This window comes from Homo sapiens, chromosome 9 (genome assembly GCF_000001405.40).
Source record: "Homo sapiens chromosome 9, GRCh38.p14 Primary Assembly".
Taxonomy (NCBI): Eukaryota; Metazoa; Chordata; class Mammalia; order Primates; family Hominidae; genus Homo; species Homo sapiens.
In genome coordinates, this window is record NC_000009.12 from 108,061,651 (window position 1) to 108,087,832 (window position 26,182).

The window sequence follows — 26,182 nt, forward strand, 5'->3', positions numbered from 1 at the left end:
TAAAACCCCAAATATGAAAAAAGCTCATTATAGTGATATTGTAAAAATATGTATTCATGGGGTAGGTACGCCTGAAATTATACACATAGAAAAAAGTTAAAAGGAAAAAACATAGCTATAACAATTTAAATTTTAAAAATTCTGATTGGACAAAGTTAACCTAAGTAAAGCTTAAAGGTAAGAGATGTACTGGGGGCAAATATTTGTTACATAGACTGCAGAGGATTGGTATGAATAATAGGTAAAGAGCTTAAACAGTTCAATACCTTTAAAAAATGGCCCAATCAGAATAATGGATAAATGAGATAAGAAGGCTCATAGGTTCATAGACATACAAATGGCCAATGAACACAGGAAAAGATAGCAAGCCTCATTAATAATTCAGCAAAATAGGAAGCCATCTACCACATTCCTCTTTTAGCCCATACAGGTTGCAACGCATGAAAAAAGCTTACATAAAAATATTACATAATGGTGAGGGTGTGAAAAAGCAGTAACTCTCATATACTGTGGGTACGAATATAATTCATAAGGTTTATTTACAAAAGTAATTTATTAAGATTGGCTGAAAAGTAAAATGTGTAAACTCTTTGGTTTAGCAATTCCATTCTAGGAGTAGATCTTTTTCAAACGTGCACATATATACAAAACAGTAGAAACAGATGTTCATCAAGGGAGAAATGGCTAACCATTTATGCATATGCATACTATGGAATACTATGTAGCCATTTAAAAAGATACACTAGAGATATAAATATTGACATGAAAATTTGTCCCAGTCATATTATATACGGAAAAAACAAGATACGCACAGACATGAAGATAGATATGAATTATAAACTTTTTGGAAGAGTGAACACCAGTGGTTAATTTTGAGGAAAGTTATGAGATTAGGGGAGAATAAAAAGTTCACTTTTTATTTAGTCCTTCATTTTTATTGATTTATAGTTTGATTTTTGAAAAATGAGACATGAATATAACCTGATTTTGTAAATGATAAAATTAATATTTAAAAGGATAACTGGAACAACTAACCATCTGTTAAGCACCTAGGTTCAAAACTTCGTGATGTTCAAATGTTTCATCTCATCGAACCCTTGAGTAACCTGGTAAAGTATGTATTTTGTCATATTAGAGATCAAGCAACCTAGTTTTAGAGAGTTTAGATAACCACTGTCTGGACATATGAAGGGTAAGCTGTGGAGCCAGATAAGAACAAAGGCTGACTATTGGCAGAGGCCATATCCTTCACTGCAAAAGAGGGTGAGAGTGTTCAGTGAGAGGTATGTCCTGGAAGCTGGGGCTGGGTAGTCTAGAGGACGTGAAGCAGTCAAAGGTGGGAAGAGCCAGCGAGAAATGCAAGTACAAACCTTAGAAAACACCAAAAGAGCCGGGCGCTGTGGCTCACGCCTGTAATCCCAACACTCCGGGAGGCCAAAGTGGGCAGATCACCTGAGGTCAGGAGTTCGAGACCAGCCTGACCAACATGGTGAAAGCCCATCTCTACTAAAAATACAAAATTAGCTGGGTGTGGTGGCGCATGCCTGTAATCCCCGCTACTCAGGAGACTGAGGCAGGAGAATCGCTTGAACCCGGGAGGTGGAGGTTGCAGTGAGAGGAGATCCCACCATCACATTCCAGCCTGGGTGACAGAGCGAGACTCCATCTCGAAAAAAAAAGAAAAAGAAAAAAGAAAACACCAAAAGGCCAAAAGCAGAGGGGTGCAGATGAGCAATAATGTGAATCCTGCTCAGAGAGAGGCATTGTACCTATAATGGCTATGTGGTGTGAAGGTATGAAGTTAACTAGTTTTAAAAACATAGAGTCAATGCTCACAGAATTGCCCTATGGGAGAAGGATTTAATTTGTTCTGGGCACCCTATGGGGCATGGGGGAGAGAAGGGCAGAAATGGGCAGAAGCTCCTGGGAGGCAATGTATTAGTCTGCCTTCACGCTGCTATAAATAACTAGCTGAGACTGGATAATTTATGAATAAAAAAGGTTTAATTGACTCACAGTTTCTCATGGCTGGGGAGGCCTCAGGAAACTTACAATCATGTTGGAAGGCAAAAGGGAAGCAAGGACCTTCTTCACATGACAGCAGGAGAGAGAGAGAGAGTGAAGGAAGAACGGGCAAACACTTTTAAACCATCAGATCTCTTGAGAACTCACTCACTATTATCGGAACAACCTGGGGGAAACTGCCCCGTGATCCAGTCATCTCCCACCAGATCTCTCCCTTGATGCATGGGGATTACAATTCAAGATGAGATTTGGGTGGGGACACAGAGCCAAACCATATCAGGCAGACTTCAGCTCAATAAAATAAATACCCATAATTTTATTTCAACATTTCAGAGGACTTTGGAGGAAAAATAAAAAGCCTAGACCAACTGGGAAAGGAAGGCAATCTGTTACTCGGGAAGTCCTGCCTTGGGTAGGAGCCCTGTATGAAAAACCAAAGCATGACCTTGCAGGTGACTCTCTGTGTGCAAAGTCTATGTAAGTAGAACAGTGGGATATACCTTCGCATGAAAATGAACAGGTGTGGAATCCTGGTATCTCCTGGTATTGTTTTTTTTCTTCTTTTCCTGCCCAGCCCCTCCCACTCCCCACTTTTTATTTGGGAACTACTTTTCCCCAGTTGCATGCAGTTTTGGCAAATCCATCAGGATGCCTCCACCTCTCCTAAAATCCATGAAGCCAATCCCTCGTTCTCCCTGGAATTTGAATCTTTAGCAGAGCCACACAAAAACTGAATAAAATGGTTATAGGTTTTTTTCCGCACCCAAAAGATAGTGTCTTGAAGAGGCTATTTGTCTGGCTACCTTGGCCTGTCCTCTTGCAGGTCTGACCAGTTATAGAATATAGATAGCCACACTCTCACATTTCATTCCAATCTAGGTTGGCCAAAGTTGGTTTCTATAGCTTCTCACTAAAGCACCTTAACTGATACGGGAGGATTTACACATTACTAGTGCCCAGTATTGGTCATTCACTCTTTTAGTAATTCAGAGCCTTAGATGGGTCAGGCTCTGTGCTTGGCACTGGGGATTCAGAGCCCAAGGACCCCAGGCTCATGAGAAAAACAAGCCCCAAATGCTGAAGCAGTCAGTCCATGAGGCCCCTAAGCTATTCTAGGAGGTGGAGATTGTGAGGAGATAGTTCTAGAGGAGCTGACACTTGAATTGAGTCAAGAAGTAAACTTGCACTACCTCTGCTGCTTTCTCCATGCCACACACTGCACTCCACGTCAGCAAGCATATTTTCATTAGCTACTCAGTGCCAGTGAATGTGTGTCCCTGAAAGTGCCAGTGTGATTAAAAGACTTCAATAGATTTTTATGGGAAAGTTGAGGAAGCTACACATTTAGAAAGTTTAGAAAGTGCCACATTCTTCGGGAGAATGATTATGAATTTCAAAAAAAAAAACAAAACAGAAAATGAACCCCTAGAGTCCAACCCCATTCTGATTTAGAGACACAGAAGTCACTGCATAACTGCATGCTTTTTATTACAAAGATAATTGATAAAATATAAAACACACCGGTAACAATTACAGATACGACCCAAATGCGGTCACATGGGGTAGCTTTGTCTGAATGTAGTGGAAAGGGGCATATTAACTCCTTGACATCAACATTGTCCATCCTACATATTTAACACCTTGTATATCTGTGTCTCATTAGTTAAGACTTCGCTTCCAAAATTTCATGACACAGCAGGCCTAAATTTTCCCCTTTGCCAATAAATAGCTGTATGAACAACTTTGGACAAGGCCCTTGAGCTTTCTGAGTTTCACTTTTTTTCAATTGCTAAATGGGGACTTGTTTGCCATTGCCATAGCAGTATAATGAAGATGAAGGCAAACAGATATAAATATTAAGATTAGTCTTGAAAGGTTCCAAGAAATCAACAGGTATAGTAGGCAGAATAATGTCCCCTACCCCAGAATATGTCCATGTTTTAATCGCTGGAAGCCATGAATCTGTTACTTTATGTAGAAAGAAGAGACTTTACAGATGTGATTCAGGTTAAGGACCTCAGGTTAGGAGATTGACCTGGATTTTCCAGTTGAGTCCAATCTAATCCTGAGTCCTTAGAAACAGAGAACCTTTCTTTCCTGGCTGTGGTCAAAGGGAGATGTGACTACTGAAGAATGGTCAGAGGGATGTGATCTGGGGACTCAACCTACTGATGTTGCTGCCTTTGATGATAGAGGGAGGGGCCATGAGCCAAGAAATGTGGGCAGCCTCTAGGAGCTGGAAAAGACAAGGAAACAGATTCACCCCTTGGAGACTCCAGAAAGAAATGCTGCCCTTCTGATACCTTGACCTTAGCCAGTGAGACCCGTGTGGGATTTCTGATCTCCAGAACTGTGAGATAACAAATTTGCCTTATGATAAATTTGCCTTGGTGTAAGCCACAAAGTTTGTGGTCATTTGTTACAACAACAATAGAAAACTAACAAAATGGGGGAATGTTTTGAAAAGGGAAGCATGAGCAAATACCATAAGAGAGAATGGTGGCTTCCAATAACTGCAAGGAATTCCATGCTGCCGGAATGTAAATTGTATGTGGGTGAAAAAAACAAGAGATGGGCTGGAGAGTATGAGATCCTTAATAATAGCAGTTATAACAATGGCAGCAACAACATTCAGTGGGCAATTAGTGTGTGTCAGATACACATATGAGCATTTTACCTGTGTTAATTCTAAAATTCAAAGCCATCCTATAAGGTAGTCACTTTTTTTTTCCTTTTTTTTTTTTTTTTTTTTTTGACAGAGTCTCACTTTGTTGCTCAGGCTGGCGTGCAGTGGTGCAATCTCAGCTCACTGCAACCTCTGCCTCCCAGGTTCAAGTGATTCTCCTGCCTCAGCCTCCCGAGTAGCTGGGACTACAGGCGTGTGCCACCACGCCCAGCTAATTTTGTATTTTTAGTAGAGACGGGGTTTTACCACATTGGCCAGACTGGTCTCGAACTCCTGACCTCAAGTGAGCCAGCTGCCCTGGACTTCCAAAGTGCTGGGATTACAGGCATGAGCCACCGTGCCTGGCCAGTAGTGACTGTTATTATCTCCACTTACAGATGGGGAAACCAAGTCACAGAGAAGGCTAAGTAAGTTGCTCAAGCTTAACATGTACAGTGCAACCATGCTAGGATTTCATTCCTGCAGTCTGGCTCTGTCTCCTCTCTAATCTCACCCCTGCAAAGGGCAGTGTGGAGGCCTTGAGGGAGTTTATACAGGAGAATGACAATCAGAACTGAGGTTCAGGGAGATCAGCCTGGTGAATGAATTTCAGGGAAATAAAACATCATTCCTGTATTACTGGCTCCCTCTCTGTGCTGGTCTTGTTTATCATGGAGGGAGAGCAGCGTGTGTGAGCAGATAGGCAACTAGAAAAGGCTAAGAGGGAAAAAAAGAAAGTTGAGGAAAATGAAACAGAGAAAGCCAAAGAGATATTTCTCGAGGATGGACAAATCTGCTGCAGACCTTTCCGGTGAAATGTATTATTATTTCACAACTCTCAACACCTTTGTTCTTCCTCCCTTAGAACAAGAAAGCAGCAGAATCATTTCCTTGGTCCACACTCTATGTCACTAGCGGTCAGTTGAAGTGTGTGTGTGTGTGTGTGTGCGCGCGCGTGCGTGTGACACTGGCAGTCAGTTGTGTGTGTGTGTGTGTGTGTGTGTGATTCTTAAAGACCAAAATGTTTTCAGATACTAGCTGCCACATTGTCAGGTCACTTTAAAAGAAGCAGGATCAGTTGACCTTGCAGGGGATCCCACTGGCTATTCCTGCCATACCACAGGGGCATTCTGGTTCCCACAGCTCAGAATTCCTCTATTCACTCATCAGTCTTGTTTTCTTTCTTTTTTTTTAATTTTATTATTATTATACTTTAAGTTTTAGGGTACATGTGCACAATGTGCAGGTTTGTTGTATATACATGTGCCATGTTGCTGTGCTGCACCCATTAACTCGTCATTTAGCATTAGGTATATCTCCTAATGCTATCCCTCCCCACTCCCCCCACCCCACAACAGACCCCAGTGTGTGATGTTCCCCTTCCTGTGTCCATGTGTTCTCATTGTTCAATTCCCACCTATGAGTGAGAACATGCTGTGTTTGATTTTTTCTCCTTGCGATAGTTTGCTGAGAATGATGGTTTCCAGCTTCATCCATGTCCCTACAAAGGACATGAATTCATCCTTTTTTATGGCTGCATAGTATTCCATGGTCTATATGTGCCACATTTTCTTAATCCAGTCTATCATTGTTGGACATTTGGGTGGGTTCCAAGTCTTTGCTATTGTGAATAGTGCCGCAATAAACATACATGTGCATGTGTCTTTATAGCAGCATGATTTGTAATCCTTTGGGTATATACCCAGTAATGGGATGGCTGAGTCAAATGGTATTTCTAGTTCTAGATCCCTGAGGAATCGCCACACTGACTTCCACAATGGTTGAACTAGTTTACAGTCCCACCAACAGTGTAAAAGTGTTCCTATTTCTCCACATCCTCTCCAGCACCTGTTGTTTCCTGACTTTTTAATGATTGCCATTCTAACTGGTGTGAGCTGGTATCTCATTGTGGTTTTGATTTGCATTTCTCTGATGGCCAGTGATGATGAGCATTTTTTCATGTGTCTTTTGGCTGCATAAATGTCTTCTTTTGAGAAGTGTCTGTTCATATCCTTTGCCCACTTGTTGATGGGGTTGTTTGTTTTCTTATTGTAAATTTATTTGAGTTCATTGTAGATTCTGGATATTAGCCGTTTGTCAGATGAGTAGGTTGCAAAAATTTTCTCCCATTCTGTAGGTTGCCTGTTCACTCTGATGGTAGTTTCTTTTGCTGTGCAGAAGCTCTTTAGTTTAATTAGATCCCACTTGTCAATTTTGGCTTTTGTTGCCATTGCTTTTGGTGTTTTAGACATGAAGTCCTTGCCCATGCCTATGTCCTGAATGGTATTGCCTAGGTTTTCTTCTCGGGTTTTTATGGTTTTAGGTCTAACATATAAGTCTTTAATCCGTCTTGAATTAATTCTTGTATAAGGTGTAAGGAAGGGATCCAGTTTCAGCTTTCTACATATGGCTAGCCAGTTTTCCCAGCACCATTTATTAAATAGGGAATCCTTTCCCCATTGCTTGTTTTTGTCAGGTTTGTCAAAGATCAGATAGTTGTAGATATCTGGCATTATTTCTGAGGGCTCTGTTCTGTTCCATTAGTCTATATCTCTGTTTTGGTACCAGTACCATGCTGTTTTGGTTACTGTAGCCTTGTAGTATAGTTTGAAGTCAGGTAGCGTGATACCTCCAGCTTTGTTCTTTTGGCTTAGGATTGACTTGGCAATGTGGGCTCTTATCTCAAAATAATAAGAGCTATCTATGACAAACCCACAGCCAATATCATACTGAATGGACAAAACCTGGAACCATTCCCTTTGAAAACTGGCACAAGACAGGGATGCCCTCTCTCACCACTCCTATTCAACATAGTGTTGGAAGTTCTGGCCAGGGCAATCAGGCAGGAGAAGGAAATAAAGGGCATTCAATCAGGAAAACAGGAAGTCAAATTGTCCCTGTTTGCAGATGACATGATTGTATATCTAGAAAACCCCATTGTCTCAGCCCAAAATCTCCTTAAGCTGGTGAGCAACTTCAGCAAAGTCTCAGGATGCAAAATCAATGTGCAAAAATCACAAGCATTCTTATACACCAATAACAGACAGAGAGCCAAATCATGAGTGAACTCCCATTCACAATTGCTTCAAAGAGAATAAAATACCTAGGAATCCAACTTACAAAGGACGTGAAGGACCTCTTCAAGGAGAACTACAAACCACTGCTCAATGAAATAAAAGAGGATACAAACAAATGGAAGAACATTCCATGCTCCTGGGTAGGAAGAATCAATATCGTGAAAATGGCCATACTGCCCAAGGTAATTTATAGATTCACTGCCATCCCCATCAAGCTACCAACGACGTTCTTCAAAGAATTGGAAAAAACTACTTTAAAGTTCATATGGAATCATCAGTCTTGTTTTCTTACAGGTCTCCCTTATTGAATGAATTAATGAATGAATGAATGAATGAATGAATTCTCCTTAGAACTAGATTTTATGCTACCTCCTGTTGAACTAGGAGCTCCTCTGAACACTACTTGAAACAAAACAAAATATAATAAAAAGTATTCTAAGGTTTCATCTTAGAACAGTCTGGAGATTCTAAGATACACCAGTGCCCAAGATCCATCCTAGAGCTATGAAAACAGAATCGTTAGGAGTGGGGTTTATGTATGGTTATTTTTAAAATAACCACTCCACTGTGATTTTTTTTTCTGAGAATTTTTAAAATTCTCCACTCCCCAGGTGATTCCAGAGTTCTTCTGTAATTGGGAACCACTTCTCTAAGCTTGTGAGAGCTCTTTCACCATCATGGAGAAGAAAAGCCATGGCTTTGGAGTGAGAAGCACGGGTTGGATTCCTCTCTCTCCTCCAAGAAATTGAAGAAGTCATTCAATCTGAGCTTCAGACCTTCCTCTTTCAACTGTGATTTAGCACTTTTCTCATAGGGCTTTTGGAAAAATTAAAGGACATCAAATATGGGAAGCAACTGATGCAGCCTGACACCTAGTAAGCATTCAGTAAGTTGGAATTTCTGTCTTTTTTTCTCACATTCTTCCTCCATAAATCCAGGGAGAACTTCTATAGGGAAACAAGTATAGGGGTATCCTCTGATAACCTCAGTGCCTCCCTGCAGCTGGTAGACCTGCACACATAGTCTGCTTATCTCCAGGTCTCCAAATGCTGTTCCCAGCACTGGCCAGCACCTCTTCTGGGCAGCTTATGCCCCAGCCTGGACTCCTTGTCCCCAGGCTTACAAAATTCCAATCCCTCTTGCCCTGTACCAAGGGGGGAGCAATGGGGTGGCCCTCTTCCAGAGCAATGGTCCCCAACCTTTTTGGCACCAGGGACTGGTTTAGTGGAAGACAATTTTTCTGTGGACCAGGGAGAAGGATGGTTTTGGGATGATTCAAGCACATTACATTTATTATGTACTTTATTCCTATTATTATGACATTGTAATATATAATAAAATAGTTATACAATTCACCATAATGCAGAATCAGTGGGGACCCTGAGCTTGTTTTCCTGCAACTAGATGGTCCCATGTGGAGTTGATGGGAGGCAGTGACAGATCATCAGGCATTAGATTCTCAGATTCTCATAAGGAGCATGCAACCTAGATCCCTCAAAGGAACAGTTCATGATAGGACTTGCGCTCCTATGAGAATCTAGTGCACTTCTGATCTCACAGAAGATGGAGCTCAGGTGGTAATGTGAGTGATGGGGAGTGGCTATTAATACAGATGAAGCTTCACTTGCTTGCCTGCCGCTCACCTGCTATGTGGCCCAGTTCCTAATAGGACACGGACCAGTGCCAGTCGGTGGCCTGGGAGTTGCGGACCCCCATTCTACAGTATAACTCTGCAGCATGTTCAGCTCTGCCCTGGCACAGACCACTTTGCATTCCTGCAGCCTGCTGATGCTTCTGCCTGTGAGTTCCAGTCTTTACCAAGCAATGCTAGCTGGAGTTTGCCAGAAATTCTAAGCTGATACCATCTTTCCAAGAGATTCCCAGGGATCTTTATTTTAATTCCTCTGCTACTAGCATGAGTTCTGAAGAACAATTGTTCAGTTGTTGTCACTACCCCACTCTCCTATGGACATCAAGCCACAGATTTTCTTCCACTTGAGCTATATGTAAAAACCTCTTGAGTTGCATTTAGGAGTTTGTCCTTCACGGCATCGCTGTCTTCAGGATAGTACTCACATCCCATTGGAGAAAGAAAAACAAAAGCATTTTCCCTCCCACTATTCAGGAACGCCTCATGGTACTGGGAAACTCCCAGGCTAATTTTCCCATTGTGTATACAACACCTTACAGTTTATAGATGCTTTCATAGTCTTAACTTTCTGTGATCTTCTCCAAGAATGCTACTGAGATAACAGGAAAGAGATTATCATTAGATCTTCATTTCACCAACGAAAACTGAAGTTCAGAGTCAGACTTCAAAACTAGGTTCCTTCTCACCAAACTAAGCACAAAATCACACAAATGTACTTTACATGTTTTTGGAATGAATCCTGGGTTTTGTTTATACACAGTTATGTCAATAGGCTGTAACTCCTAAATGATTCAGTTGAAACTAGCTCAATAGACATGTCTCATTATTACTCTTAATAACAAAAAATGCCACAACCTGGATTGATGTAGCTGAAAAGGTAAAGGAAGCAGGACTGTCTACTCCTGTGCTCCCCAAAGCATGGCCATTGTGCAGGCTGTTCTAGATAGGGTATTTGTCAACAAAAATTTCCAGGAAATGAATGGGCACTGTATCTTTTTATTTGGATATCAGAAAGAATTTCTCCTCTACAGTAATTTCTCCCCTGGCTAGGTTTTGGGGATTAAATCATTCCCCCATTTACAAGAGCCCTGTGGCTCTCCTAGGCTGTAGCTCCATTTGGAGTGAAATGAACCAACGCTCCTTACCCAAGCCACAGCTCTTCGGGCTTGAAACCGTAGACTCTTTTTCAGTAAGACAAGTGAGTAGGGATTCCTGGGGCCCTGGAAAGTACTTCACTTTCCCAACTTTAACTATCAGAGGATTTGGGCTGGATCTCTGGTACTGCATAAGTTGAAAGAGAGAGAGATAAATTCTTTTTTTTTTTTTTTTTTTTGAGACAGAGTCTCGCTCTGTTGCCCAGGCTGGAGTGCAGTGGCTCGATCTCGGCTCACTGCAAGCTCCGCCTCCAGGGTTCATGCCATTCTCCTGCCTCAGCCTCCCGAGTAGCTGGGACTACAGGTGCCCACCACCATGCCCGGCTAATATTTTGTATTTTTAGTAGAGACGGGGTTTCGCTGTGTTAGCCAGTATGGTCTAGATCTCCTAACCTCGTGATCCGCCCGCCTCGGCCTCCCAAAGTGCTGGGATTACAGGCATGAGCCACCACACCCAGCTGAGAAATTCATTCTTTTGGAGATCTCTGAGCTCCTGCCTTATTAACCGTCTGCTGACAATCAACAGATCCTTCAGAGGCATGACTTAGATCTGAGAGCCTCTCAACTTTCCTGTGTCCTGATGTCACAGCCCACTTAGAAAGCCAAGTCCAAGGGGTATGAAAATTGACAACACCCCAGCTGCCCCTGAGATGATTCCTCAAGGAGATCTTTGCCAGGTTGTTACTGATAAAGAAGACAGATGACTGATCATGTGACTCATTTGTCACCAATGACCCCATCTGGTGCACAAGAACTGGGTACAAAAGGAGGGCTGATTGTGCGGCGAGGACCGCCACTAACTACACGGGCACCATCAGCCATCCACCTGTTCACGTCATTAACGTCATGATGCTCTCTGAAGGAGGCTGTGGTATTCCCATTTCACAAATACTGAGGGAGGTTAAACACACACACACACACACACACACACACACAAAATCACACATCTTGCAACCTATTTTTAGCTCCAAAAGCCACTCATCCAGGCTGGAGTGCCGTGGTGTGATCTCGGCTCACTGCAACCTCCACCTCCTCGATTCAAGCAATTCTCCTGCCTCAGCCTCCTGATCAGCTGGGACTACAGGCATGCACCACCACACCTGGCTAATTTTTGTGTTTTTTTAGTAGAGACGAGGTTTCACCATTTGGCCAGGCTGGTCTCGAACTTCTGACCTCAGGTGATCTGCCTGCTTCAGCCTCCCACAGTTCTGGGATTACAGGAGTGAGCCACCACCCCAGCCAGATTCAAAATCTTTTATTGCCTCTAGGAATTGTGAGGCAATTCTTGGCTATTGTGCTTCTACTCCACAGTTAAGGACATCCCCAGGGACTCCTGAACTGACAAATGACAATGAGAAATTGACTAGGAACAATTGTTTTTTTCTTCGCTTTAAAAAGAAGCAATAACCAATACAACACCTCCTTGGGGATCAAAATCTCAAAATTTTGGTATCGATTGGTAAAGCATCCACAATGCAACTCCTTCTTGTTATCTCTTTTTGGGTTCTAGTTGTTTCCTTTCTTCTTTGTCCATGCAAAAGAGGATGGCAGGAAGGGAGCATGAGAGTCCTTGCCGAATCTGCTTCCGGGGTTGCTGTGTGGATTACACAGGCAGACAGGTGTGAATACGTCTGCAAACATCACAGCACTCTACAGATGCCATTTATGAGCAGAAGGCATGCTTTTTTAATGCAAAAACTTGGGTGTCTCCTCTGAGCTCCCCAGCCTGGGTGAAACCATTCTGGAATCTTCTGTGTTTCACTCCACCAGAGCACTGTTACTGCATTACTTTCATTTCCCTACTTGCGAGAAAACAATGTAATGAACGGATCCTTGAAACCACGGTGCGGTACAGGGCAGGCAGTGAGAGATAAAGATGGGCAGAAGAAATGTGCATATGAAATGTGCAAACGGGAAGGACTCTCCCCTTTCCTGGTCCAGCCTGGGAGGGCTTTTCTCATCAGACTGGTCAGGGGAGATCAAACAGTCCTTCACTGGACAAGGCCCTGAGTCAACATCACAGTGGAAAAGGGTCTCACCCCTGCAAGTTTCCTTCTGCATGCAGCATGAAGGAGGGGGGTACCCTTTAGGGGTTTCCATTTCTGCTTTCCTCAGTCAGTGGGCTCTGAAATCCAAAGGCTTCTGTGTTGCAGGACAACTTTGGTTACAACTTAGGATAGGGGCATGCCAGAGGCAGCTCCTATTGGAGTGAGCAAGAGAGAAAGAGAGAGAATTGTTACATTTTTAGTTTTGGTAGCCAATTGATGTCACATTGATATCTCAAAATTGGTTATGGTTGGCAGTATTTACACAAGGGAAATTGGTAAGTACTACAACTAAGATCTTTTTTTTTCCTTTTCCTCCAGAGACCTGGTTGTTAAATATTTACCAACAAACCATTGGCTTAAAGTTGCATTAAAGTGTAGAACCCCAAATTTTGCTCATGCTTTCTCGATTATATTCTCTTTTCCCCTCTTCCCAAGGTGCTTTTGAATTCTACCCTTCTATTTGCTCTTGGTGTGTACTTCTAGAGAAATGCTAAGGTTACATTCACAGAGGTCAAAGTGGTATGAATAAATAGACCGTTTATTTGTACAGAACCCTTATATTGTTTGAAGTGATGTCACGTGTATTTTTTTTATTTTTGATCTGCACCACAACCCTGAGAAAGACAGAGTTAGTACACTTATTTACAATTTGCAGATGGGAAAACTGCAGTTCAAAGTGTCTGCATGGGAGTGATGGGCCCAGGCAAGGAGGAGGGCCAGGGGATCCTCCCCACCACCTTGCTGCCCCTAAAAGTCAATGAAGCACCACTAGACAAAGCACCCACCATTCCCAGACCAGACTGTGGCCGGCCGGGAAAAACCAAACTGCAGCGAGTGCACAAACGGCTTTTATGTGGTTTGAGGCTACATTCTGTGATTCTTTATGTAGAAGCAAATTGTCCTTTTAATTATTATGTGGGCTGAACTGAAATAGATGCACATTCCTTGAGCCACCGGCAGCAGCCAGAGTGGCCCAGGTGTTCAGAGTGAAGATCTGCCAAGTTTCAAATTTGATGCTTATAATTGGGAGTGGTATCTGTTTCTATGCAGAAAGTGTTTGCTTTTCTTAAACTAAAGCCTTTGGAATATTGTAAATGGGAAACACAATGGAATGGTCATGGAGTTCATGGTATATTCCATTAGGAGAGAGTTGGGGACAAGGTCCTGGTGGGCAGTGGGTGTTCACTGACATATTAAAGGTTCCAATCCTGTGGCCTTGATCCACTTCAGGTACATGAATCTTACAACTGTTGCCAAAGGGTAAGATCATTTTGAATGGCTGGGACTGTTATCTTTTAAAAATACATTCATATAGTCTCATATGAGTTTGTTGCAGGGAAGCACGTTGGCCTGTACAGAATTGGAGTTTTCAGACAGTCAAAGCAAAGAAAAAAACAGGCCCCTAGCATGCATTCTTCTTTGTTCTTCTGCCTTGGAACTAGGGAGACAGCATTGATTCTGGGCTCTTGCAGAGATACTCTGCAGACAGATCCGTCCCCACCCTCCCTAATTGCTGCCCAGGCTCAGGTGATCACCAACACCCATTCCTTTGTTCCTCCCTAAATATTTTCCCACAAACCAAGCCCCGGGGCCATCTCCTCTTTTTCTGTCCCCAAAAACTAGGGCCCTCTGATGCCCCACCTCCTCGGCATGTCCCCCAGACAACTTGAAAAGGAGGCCTACGTTCATCCTAATTGCTGCAGGACCCACAGAACAAAGCTTCCTATCGCCCTCCTGGGGGACCTGGTCAGATTCATGGAATTCCCAGAGTGGGTGTTGTTGCCTCCCCTGGCACCCCTTCCCTCCTCTTGTCATAACGTCACAAAAATTATTCTTTAGGGAGATTCTACACCTCCATTTCACACTATCATTGTGGGACTGTGAGTCAGTCTTGGTGGGATTTTTTGATCAAGAGGTTCTCTCCTCTTTCGGCCAATGGGAGACACTTGACTCAGTCTCAACCCCTCAGACTCTTTCGCAGAAATTCTGAGCACAGTGCCGCAAGGTGGAAGGCAACGAGGGCTAGCGCATCCCAGGGCTGAGATGGGAGAAGCTTGTTCCCTGATTTCTGCGACTTAAATCTTCAGGGCTGCCCCACATCCTCTTTTATCTCTCAATTGCCTTTTCTGTGAACTAACTTATCTTCCAATACATTTTCTTTTCTTTTCTTTGGAGACAAAGTTTCGCTCTGGTGATCCAGGCTGATGTGCAATGGCATGATTTCGGCTCACTGCAACATCCACCTCCCGGGCTTAAGCAATTCTCCTGCCTCAGCCTCCTGAGTAGCTGGGATTACAGGTGCCCAGCACCATGCCTGGCTAATTTCTGTATTTTCAGTAGAGACGGGGTTTCATCACATTGGCCAGGCTGGATCTCAAGCTCCTGACCTCAGGTGATCCACCCACCTTGGCCTCCCAAAGTGCTGTGATTACAGGCGTGAGCCACCGTGCCTGACCAAATGTTCTTTTTTGGTTTATTTTTCTCAAGTTATCCAGTTCATCTGTTGCTTACAACCAAAACGACCCTAATTCACAGAGTCCCAAATAAATGAAAACCTCACACACTGAGGCTGGAGGCTCTAGTCAACAGCCCATTGGCATGTCTGATGCGTCTGAGCTGGGCAATGGCACATCCCCATTGAGCAACAATAACCAAAGAGGTTGGGGTGGAAAGTAGAGAATGAAACCTAAAATAGTTTAAAACTCTGGGTTATAAATGACCAAAACCTTTACCAATAATGAACGGGCACAAAGCAGGAGCTTGCTTGAGTGTCTCTCCCAGTTGGTTTCTGAGTTCACTCATCTATGATATGGGAGGTAGGCCTGATGACTAGATGCTGGAAATCTGTGATTTTGCGACACTGCTGTTTTCAGTGTGATAAAACCGAAACTGAGCCTTCACTCTGTACCCTGCTAGGTACTGGCTCAAAGAGATGGGTGGAATGCAGCCCCTGCCCTCAGGTGATATGGTTGGATTTGAGTCTGAGGAAGAGGCCAGGCTAGAGGCACAAAGACTGTTGGGTGACATTGTCCTGGCCTGGGATAACCAGGGCTACAGGCATGGTGTGGAGGCAGGAGGGGCTTCAATGACCGACAGAGCAACAAGAAGGGAGAAGCCCAAGTGACCCAGTTTCCTGATCTGGGGGACGGTATGTTCCTGAGATATTAAAGGGCTACCTTTCCCACCCCCCTCCCCGCTGTGGTTTAATAAGTGGCCTTGAGGGAATTGGGCAACTACAACTCAGAAGTCAGTCCCTTTTTATTTTGTCTCTCAGGATAGTTGCGTTTTTCCTGGCCTCCCAAGAACAGCCCCTTCACGCCAGAAAAGTTGGAGACCACACAGCAGACATCCCTGACACCTGCTTTTCTCATAGTCCTTGTGCTTCTCCAGACCCAGAGAGAGACGCACACCGCAGGGAACTGCTTAGCAACTGCACGTAGGAAATCGGGATTCCAAACTATTCCTGTGGGTTTTTTCCTCCCCACTTTGTTCTCTTGTTTTCAGTCGTTCATGATTCAGTCATTGTTCCATCACAAAACGCACTAACCGGTTCTGCAGGCCCTGGGATCTCAACTGCACTGGGGACACTGCCGCCCTGATTCCTGGGGTCAGGGGGTTTCAGGCAAAGGCCCCAAGTGATTCCCTAAAGACCTGGCCAGGGTGAGCCACACGGGGTGGGCAGCCCCTGTATGAGGCTGTTCTTAGGGCCCCCCTGGGTTTCTCTGGGCCTGGGCCCTTGCTCTCATTCTCTCTCTCTTCATCTCTGCACTCATGTGGGCTCCTGACATTTCTGTTTCCTCTCTTGGTAGAAGGGTCTCTCTCTTACCCATCCACCTCTGTCTTGGTCTCTCTTTATATGCATCTCTGTCTCTTTCTTTATCTCTCTCTGTCTCTGTGAGCCTCTCATCTCTGTGTCTCTATCTTTGTTTTATTTGTCTTTTTTTGTCTCTGCGTCTTTGTTTTCCCACTGTCTTTCTCTGCTTCTGTTTGTGTCTGACTCTCTTTATGTGTCTCTGTGCTTGTCTCTTTCAGTCTCTGTAAGTTTGTATCTCTCACTCTGTCTCTGCATCTCTCGGTTTCTCATTTCTCCATCTTTCTGTTTTCTTTTTGTCGCCCTCTCTGTTCTTTCTCTGACTCTTGTTTCTCTGAGCCTCTCTTCTTCTCTCTCTCCCTTCCCCCACACCCCCTCTCTTTCTGAATTTCTCTTTGAAGCTCAGAAGCTTGGCCCAAGTCCCAAATGAAATGGGCTCAGTTTCCAGAATAGCTAACTTTGCACATTGAGAGTTAATTTTTTCCCTCGTCATCAACTTCCCTCCTATTCTAGAATGCCTGAGTCTGGCCCAAAGGGCTTCCTAGGAAAGGGCCCACGTGCCGCGGCAGAAGCCACACAGCCATGCTGCACCCCAGAGAGCGCCAAAGAAGATCGATTGACAACTGCAACATGCAACGTGCCAGATTTCTCTGGCAGTGCTCCAGCTAGTCAGAGCCAATTAATATGAAACCAATAGGCCAAATCAACGTTTTCAGAAGTTAACTCAAAAAAATCCCAGAAGATTAACCAGCCTGTGGCCTTTGCTATGAAATTGTTACCACACCACTTTCTTTTCTTTTGAAAGTCCAGATGGGCAGATAAATCCAAAGTGGATCAACCACATCTGCCATTCCTCCACACAAATTACACCCCCTCCCACAACTTCCCTCTTCCCTCTCCAGCATGCAAAGCACTCAGGGCCTGGGCTGAATTGACATTTTATGCCACACTGTATGTTTTGAATTCCTCATTGTATTATGAGGAACTGCATCATGACCCCTCTGAGGCAAAGAGCTGGCAGATTCTGAAATTTGCCTTCTCCAAAGGTGAGAACTGCATTTGTGGAGGGACGGCTTTCTTCCAGGCACAAAATGAGCCAAGAGTAGAACCCAGCCCCGTTGGCTGCCTTCTCCAGTGTTCTGAACCGGTATTCAAATCAGCAAAGTCCAGGTGGGTGTTTTCTATTAATAATGCCCCCTTTTCTACATTTGCTAGGTAATGTATTATAGTGTCATGCCCAGTTGAGAGATGAGGTTATTAATAAAGTCCTTTCTTGAAGAAGAGAGTTGGGGGAAGGAAAGGAGAGAGGCAGGAGGGTTCCTTGGGATGGGCACCTCTCCTGCAGAGTAGCTGGTGTTGCTGGAATCTGGGCAGCCTATGGGGTTTGAGTCAAATGTCAAAAGTTAAGGCCACCACCCCAGGATGTCTGTATAAATGGGTCCTTGAAACAAGAAGGACTTGAGATGTCAGAAATTGAAAATCTTGGGAAGAACCAAATCAAGAGAGTACTGGAACATAATGCTGGGAAATACTCAAGAAACTGATGTTCATGCTGGCTTTTTGAGTGCTTCCTGGGTAGAGTGCACCGGAGTGTTAAAAGGCTAAGAACAGATTGACATAATCTGGAGCACAGTAGGAAACTTTCCAAGCTCAAATCCTTTAATTCCAAAACTTGTGTTCTTTAGGTAAATTAGTAAGCATTTTCCAAAGTTTCTCTATGAAGAAAGGAGCCGGGTGAATATACATTTTATACAGCTAGGGACACCTATTAAAAGCTCACTTTCCCTTTAAGATTATTAAGAAAAGTATAGGGAATGTTCTATTTTATGTGGGCTGGGACTCTTGGCACAAAAACTGAGATTTTACCTAAGAAACTGAAATCGCGGAATTCCAGAGCAGGAAAATATTTCGAGATCAACTGTTCTTTAATACCCTTTTCATTTGACAGACAAGGAAACAGAAGCCGAGAGATGGAATATTGCATACAAGGTTGCACAGCAAGTGTGATGGGTGGTGACTTATACCTCAACCCCAACCTTGCAAGTTGGCCATGTGGTTGTGACATTTCTTCATGCCATTCTCAGAACACCAGTGAACAAAAACGATGTTGTTTGGGTAGATTAGCATTCCTGGGGTTTGAGTCTTTAAAATGTGGTTGTTTAGAAGTTTGAGAGAGGTTAGTCTTACAGAAAAGCACCTTGGGTTTTGCATGGCCATGTTAGCAGGACAAGCAGCACCCATAGGCTATCCTGAGTTCCTGACACCAGTGACCTTCCCGGGTTTGGCCCAGCATGCTTCTCTGTTCCCAACCAGAGCATGGCTTGGGTAGTGTCCCACTTGCTGGTTTTTGTGCTGGCCTCCACACTGGACCTTGAGATGCCCTGCCTGTGTATCATTTGGCAGCTCATCTGGCCCCAAAGACCTGAGCAGATCTGTCCTCTTCCTGCCTGGCCTGCCTCCAAAGTCTGATGCCTGGTCCTTGTCTTGATGTTGGCTTGAACTGGACAGTTTCTGTCATTATCCTGGCCACACATTCAAGGTTACTTGATGGAGATGCCCTGAGGACTTTGGGAATCTACAGCGTCTGCCGCATGCCAGATATGACCTCACAGTGATAAAAGTAAGATCATCGCTTGATCCAATCACTATATCTCCCCACCCTTCCCACCATCCACAAACACATGCACCTATGTGCGCATTTTACAGACTAATCAGTTGAAGCTCGCAAAAGAGAAGCGATGGCCCCAAAGCACACAACCCTATGTGGTAGAGTTTCAGCTCAAGGTAGAGACTTCACTATAAGAAGCCATCCCTCCATTTTCAGTTCTAATGAAGAAAATCTTTTTGGGTTGTTGTATCCAACCTATATTTTACAGAAGTACGTTCTTAGTTCCTGTCCAAATGTTAGACGACACCAGCAGAAGAACAGCAAAGCCTAGTCTGGGTCATTTCCTATGACTACAAAATCATTAGATACAAAAAGGTATGTCTGAAAATTGTAAATGTTAAGAAGACAATACTCATTCACTGTTCCCTAGTACCAAGTCCTGTTTAAGCACCTTACATGTACTAGTTCATTTAATCTTCACAATAGCCCCATGAGGAAGGTACTAGTTTTTTCCAGCTTTCCAGATGAGGAAATTAAGGAATAGAGAGATTAGGTTACTTGTCAGAGGTCACACTGCTAAAAAATAGCAGAGCTGGGATTCAATCCAGGCTGTCTGCCTCCAGAGCCACATTCTTAGGTGCTATGCTGGGCTATCAAAAATATTTTGGCAGCTGAAGAAGTAGTCCAAATCACATATTGTTAGATTTGTTGAACAACAACTGCTAAACTCTGCATAGCTCTTTGGCATTTGCTGCTTAATCAAGTATGATTAGCTTTGTTGAAGAATAACCACTAACCTCTGCATAGCTTGTGCATGTGAATTTTTAGTGTGTAACCTCTCATGGCTGCTCAAACCCCAGAACATGGAAGACTTAGGGGGACGGAAAGTGACTTTAGTGGTAAGTGGCAGAATGAGGATTTGAACTCAGCCCAAATTAAAGCATACTACTTTATCTATATTTTACATAAGAGGAATCTGAGGCTCAGAGGGATTCAGTAAGGCAAATCCCTCTCTTCGCAGGGAGCCCAGCATAGCCGTTTGTATGGGATTAGTGCTAAGTATGTATGAAGTCCTATGTCAAACCGTGTCTCCGGACTGAAGGATTCAAGGCTCCTGGCCTTAGTCCCTTGGGCAGAGTCTGGGGTCTCTATTGCATTCATGCTGGGGAGAAGAGATTTACACAATACCCAACCAGATGCTGTAGGAGAATGAGGGAGAAGAGTGAGGCACAGGGTGAGCTGGGCTGAGGCTATCTGAGAATTCAGGCTCCAGGCTCCTGTGTGTAGGGCATGATTGTGGACCCTTGATCTGGAGAACCTTGAAGAGGAAGCAAATAGCATCAACTCATTTCTGCAGGACATAGAATTGGCCATCATCAGTCAACATGGGTTTCAATCTTAGATTGGTCTCTCTAAAGTCTTGTTTACTCCATTTATAAAATAGGGTCAAAACACTACTGACAGTACTAATTTGATTAGCGATTAAGTAAGATAATATAGCTCTTATTGATGACACATAGTGGGCCACCATACTTTTGTTTCCTTCCCCATCTTCTCTGTCAAACTCTGTCTTCCTTGACAATTATCTGAAGAAGGCATTGATGTGATTTTATTTCCATGCAAGGATGAAATGAAATGAAAAGTAATTTTTAATGGCTTGCTGGTGTTAGGGGTTTTCAACCCTCCTTTTGCAATTGGCAGCAAAGGGTAACTCAGATGATGCACTAGTGTCCAGTGGCTGCTGTAATGAATGACCACCAGCCTGGTATCTTAAAGCAACAGAAATGTATTTGCTCCCAGTTCTAGAGGCCAGAAGTCCAAAGTCAAGGTGTTGTCAAGGTTTGGTTCCTTCCGGAGGCTCTGAGGAGGAATTCATTTCCAGACTCTCCCCTAGTTGCTGGTCCCTGATGGAAGTCCTTGACAATCCATGGCTTGTAGACTCATAAGGACAGTAGTCATTGGATTTAAGGCCCACTCAAATCCAGGATGATCCTATTTTGAGATTACCTTAATCCTATCTGTAAATATCCTTATAAGCTCACATCCTGAGTTTCCAGTGGACATGAATTTTAGGGAGGTGGGGTTCACTATTCAATTAACTATAGGCAGATTTCACAGGAGAAAAGGATACTGGATTAATATAATTAACTGTGGATTTTGCTTTGCCACTTGCCGCTCACTTGCTGGATAACCCTGGCCACATTACTTCCTTTGATCCTCAGCTCACTCCCCACATCACCTATAACGAGACCATGCAGAAGAGAGAACTTTGTAAAATTTTACCTAAGGCTGAGTGGGTTTTATGACTGGAGAGTGGATAAATGGGAACCCAGTGAGAAAAGAGACTGACAAAGTAGGGCTTTGCTGGCATCTTCTAAGTAGCAGCTGAAAATATTTTCCTCAAATGCCCATACATATCAGCATGCCCCACAGCCTTTTACTAAATTGGCCATCTTGATCTCTTCTTGACCAGGTTGTTCTGCCTTTCTGGAACTTGCAACTCTGAGGCTTCAGCAAGAGGGCGACGCCTGAGCCCCTGCCCATTTCTCCAAGCATGCAGGCATTATATAACTGCATTGACAAACAGCCACCTGTCTCTGGCAGTGTGACCTGAAACCCATTCTCTGAGACTTGTCTGCGGGCTCTCAGTATACACTGTAACCGAGGAAATGCATGCTTTACAGATGTTTATCTCCTAATTAAGAATCTGATGTGCCACTTACGGTAATGTACTTGCTCATGCTAATAGTTTCTCTTTCCTCAGAGGATCTGCCAGGGCGGATTTGATGCAACAAAAGAGAGTGTCCCTGGTGTGTTTTAATTAGGCTATTGGTCTCCAGTCATGGTGAGTACCAGGTGCCAGGCCTGCTGCAAAGCAGTTCAGATCAACAACCATCCACTGATTTCTATTCTAAGGTGAATGAGGTAGACTCTGCTTTTGAGGAGCTTTCAGCCTCCAGGGAGGGGGCTTGACAGACACAGATGACTAATTAGCATGCAAGGTGTTCAGTGCTCTAAACCAGTCCTGTGGGCTGAGGACTTGGAATTCCACTGGAGGCTTGGAGTTTAGTGAAGATGGGACAATTTAGCCAAGCTTGTCAAAAGAGACCAGTGGGAATTTATCAGGCAGACATGGAGCAGGACTACTATTCCTGGCAGAGGAAACGGCCTGAGTAAAGGCATAAAGGTGTAAAAAAGCAGATATTTGGCATGAGGTTGATGCCTGGGGTATATGGACAGAGTGGGAAGGGATGAGGGCAGACACCATGGGGACAGATCACACAGTGCCTTAAAAGTCAGGCCAAGGAGTTGATTCTGTAAATGCCAAAGGTGATATGATGGTGCTTGATTGGGAAGGAACATGATCGGGAGTGTATTGTAGATCAGTCACTGGCTGTAGCCTAGAAGACTGAACAGGAGGCCAAGGGAAGGCAGAAGGAACAGAAACTGTTGCAACACTTCAAGTTCAAGATGATGGTGGCCTGATTGGAGTAGTGCCAGGGGAATGGATGAGTAGAACTCATATAATTATCCATCGGAGGTTGCAGGGAGAGGAGTGAGGTAGGAATGGAGGAAAAGTCTGCATTTCTCTCTGGGATGACTTAGATATGGTCCATGAACTGAGATGAGGACTTCAGGAGGGGGTGCAAATCTGGGGGAGTTGGTGGAAAGGGTACACTTGAGATGAAGGTTGACTTAGGAGCCACCTGGTCATGAATCTAGGAAACCCACTCCATGCTGGGTGGGCTCCGTGATTTTAGGTGCCTAAGGAGAATCTTAGCTTATATATTCCTATAATAAAAGTGCTGTGGGACCATCCACTGCAAGGACTGGAGTGGGTGTTCTAAACCTGCAGTTCCAGCCTTGACCACCCTGCCTAAGCGTCAAGGGGAACTTGCTGTGAAGCTCTGGAATCCTGACCTCAGGTGTCAGCCTCCACTCTGCCCCCTCGACCACAGGTTAACAATTTCCCAAACACCTTCAGACCCTCCACCCCTGCCCCTCCAGCACTTCCTCTCTACTCCTCTCCCTCCTCTTCCTCCTCTTCTGCCTAGTGCCTTGCCTGGACTTGCTCAGAACAGGGATTCTCTGATTCTCTTACCCTGCCTTGGCCCATGGTTGGGATTTGGTGGGTGGTAAGGCAGGAGGTGGGCAGAAGACGGTAGCATCTCCTTCCCCAACTTTGCCCCCCTTCCTGTCACATTTCTTCTTTTGCGTCTTTCCAGAAAAAGACATTATGGTCAGATGGGCTACAAGTTGGGTCTTACGGAGAGAGAAGGAGGATGCTTGATAGTACTGAGTGATTCAAAGGCATTGAAAAACTGGCCCCATTATAAGGAGCAACTCCACAATAAAACAATTGCCCAATAGAATTGGCATCTAACAGGTCTTTCTTATTTGTAATTGTCAGAGGCATTTGAACCAGAACAACTCCATCTTGAATAGGGGCTGGGAAATACAAAGCTGAGACCTACTGGGTTGCATTCCCAGGAGGTTAGGCATTCTAAGTCACAGGATAAGATAGATAGGAGGTCGGCACAAGATATAGGTCACAAAGACCTTGCTGATAAAAGGATGCAGTAAAGAAGCCAGCCAAAGCCCACCAAACCAAGATGGCGACGAAAGTGACCTCTGGTCGTCTCACTGCTCATTATGCACTAGTTATAATGCATTAGCGTGCTAAAAGACACTCCAACCAGCACCATGACAGTTTACAAATGCCTTAGCAACATCAGGAAGCTACCCTATATGGTCTAAAAAGGGGAGGAATCCTCAGTTGCAGGAATTGCCCACTCCTTTCCTGGAAAACTCATGAATAATCATACCTCTTGTTAACATATTATCAAGAAATAACCATAAAAATAGCCAACCAGCAGCGCTGGGGGCTGCTCTGTCTATGGGATAGCCATTCTTTGATTTCTTTACTTTCCTAATAAACTTGCTTTCACTTTATGGACTCCAAATTCTTCCTTGCGGGAGATCCAAGAACCCTTTCTTGGGGTCTGGATCGGGACCCCTTTCCAGTAACGTCATCATTGCTTTTTTTCTCCTTTCTCTCTTTCTTCCCTTCTTCAGTAAGTAGGAACAGAGCACCTTCTCTGGTCAAGCACTGGCTAGAGCCTGGGGACACAAGAGGCGAGTAAGTCAGAGAGCAGGTCTACCAGGAGCACCAGATCTAGAGGCAGAAAAGAAAGCAGATGATCACGGCTCCCAAATGGAGGCCCATGGCTAGAGAAGCCCAAGGGAAGGGAACAAGTAGTTTGAGAACAGAGCTGCTTCATCCATGTGCAGGATAAGTTTTCACAGGGAGAAAGGAAACAGGCCATTGCAGGCAAAAACATGACATGAAAGGCGATGCCTGGTTCTATCTTTCCTCTTTCCTTTCTTCATCTCGCTTCTCCTATTTTCTCTTTCATCTTCTTATCTCAACAAAACACTAATGAAATATTTGCACTATTTTTAAGCTAATATGTATTATTTTTATCTAATGCTGCTTGTGACATAAAGACAATCTCCTATCACTCCCACCACAGAGATGACGCAAGTGTGGCTTGAAGACTTTAGGTGACATCCTGGTGGGTGGCTAGAGGGTAATGGACTTTGGAATTGGACGGTGAAAGCTGTTCTCCCCTCCATTTTTTATACCACCTCCTTTTGGAAAAATTTGGAAAGCAGTTATGTGCATTTATTCTAATCTGTGTAAGTGCCTTCTTGCCATTGTATGAGAAAATAATATGAATGGGTAAGAAATGCACTAAATAGGAGGTCAGGAGACCTGGTCCTGTTATCTTTCCATAGGACCTCAGGGAGAGGATGAGGAGGGTCCTTCTTTTGCCTCCCATGCCCTACATACCTTGAGGTTCCCTGAGCAGAACAAATGGAACCAACCACATAGCCCAGAGGTTTGCTGTTGCTCTTGCAGGGCTGTCCAGGGCTCATTGCTTGGCTTAATACTCTGCTGTCTCCACTTTAAAACTCTTTATAATTTTAATAAGGCCCTGCATTTTTATTTTGCACTGGGACCCACAAATCACGTAGCCAGTCCTTCTCAGGAAACCTGCTTTCCTGCCCATTCACTGTCTCACTGTCGCTGTCTGGCTGCCTCCCTTCAAGTGATTCCCTACTAGCTCCCCTGAGGCCAAGACTGTTCCTTTGATCTGAGACACGGGCTGGTTCCTGGGTCCATGCAGAATAGCAGAATGATGGTGTCCAGCACCAGACATGATTATCCAAATCATTTCCTCCTGTGACCAGGACCTGGCTTAATACTTCCCAGGTACCAGGTGTTCCCCAAATATCTGCACGTGGAAGGGTTTGGGTAGCTCCATTCTTTTCTCTTTTGATAAAACAATTAGGTCATTTAGAATATGAAAAGCTTTGAAATCATGAAAGTACTTTATTTGAAGTTTGGGGAAGAAAGGACTTTGATGGTAAAGAGAAAGACAGCTATTTCCATTTTAAACAAAGAAACAGCAGGAGAGATTTCTGGGAGAAGGTAATAACTCAGATTCTGTTGTCCACAATATTGGTAAGAGACTTTACAGAGTCACTCAGTTAGTAAATTGAGACTAGTCCCAGTAGGTAGACATTGCAGAAAGAAATCTTTGGCCTCAGAATAATGAAGAGATTCTAGCATTCAGAGATTTCCAGATGGAGATTTGGCCAACTCATAAGACAGTGAAGTGTTTATCCCTGGAAGCAATGAGCAAATTGCTGGTTTATGCCCATTCAACAGAGGGGTGGAGAAGAGCTGAGCATCAAATGGGCAATTGGACCAGATAGAGTTTAAGATTTTTAACAACCCTGGCAACCTGTGTTAGTTGATTCTAGTGACTCTGAGATACTGGGTTTTTCTAACCCAGAGATTCTATTTTTTTTTTTTTTTTTTTTTTTTGGTTTGTACCTAAAAGCTAAAGTTACCGACTTTCTATTTCTGCAGGAAACAAATGAAGAATCCAAATTTTCATATTTACCATATAAGCAGGAAGATATTGATTGCTTGAAATTACTGTTATAATTCCATAATTCTAGCCGGTGGCTTTCTTAAAATGAATGAATGAATGAACAAATTAATTAAGGAAAGAAATGAGAAACATTCAGTGCAGAAACAGTTCTTTCAAGATTACCAAGGTCAGGAAGGGT

General features: G+C 43.8%; 2 long non-coding RNA genes across 4 annotated transcripts in view; one reads left to right on the forward strand and one right to left on the reverse strand.

The window, feature by feature from the left end:
• The window catches only part of LOC105376214 (uncharacterized), a 401,533-nt gene that overhangs the window by 18,406 nt on the left and 356,945 nt on the right, over window positions 1-26,182 (reverse strand). The gene's annotated exons all lie outside the window — the stretch shown is intronic.
• Window positions 18,279-21,826, forward strand: LOC105376213 (uncharacterized). Its single transcript, XR_930237.3, has 3 exons — window positions 18,279-19,051; window positions 19,308-19,414; window positions 21,513-21,826. It is a non-coding gene; the product is annotated as an uncharacterized LOC105376213 (long non-coding RNA).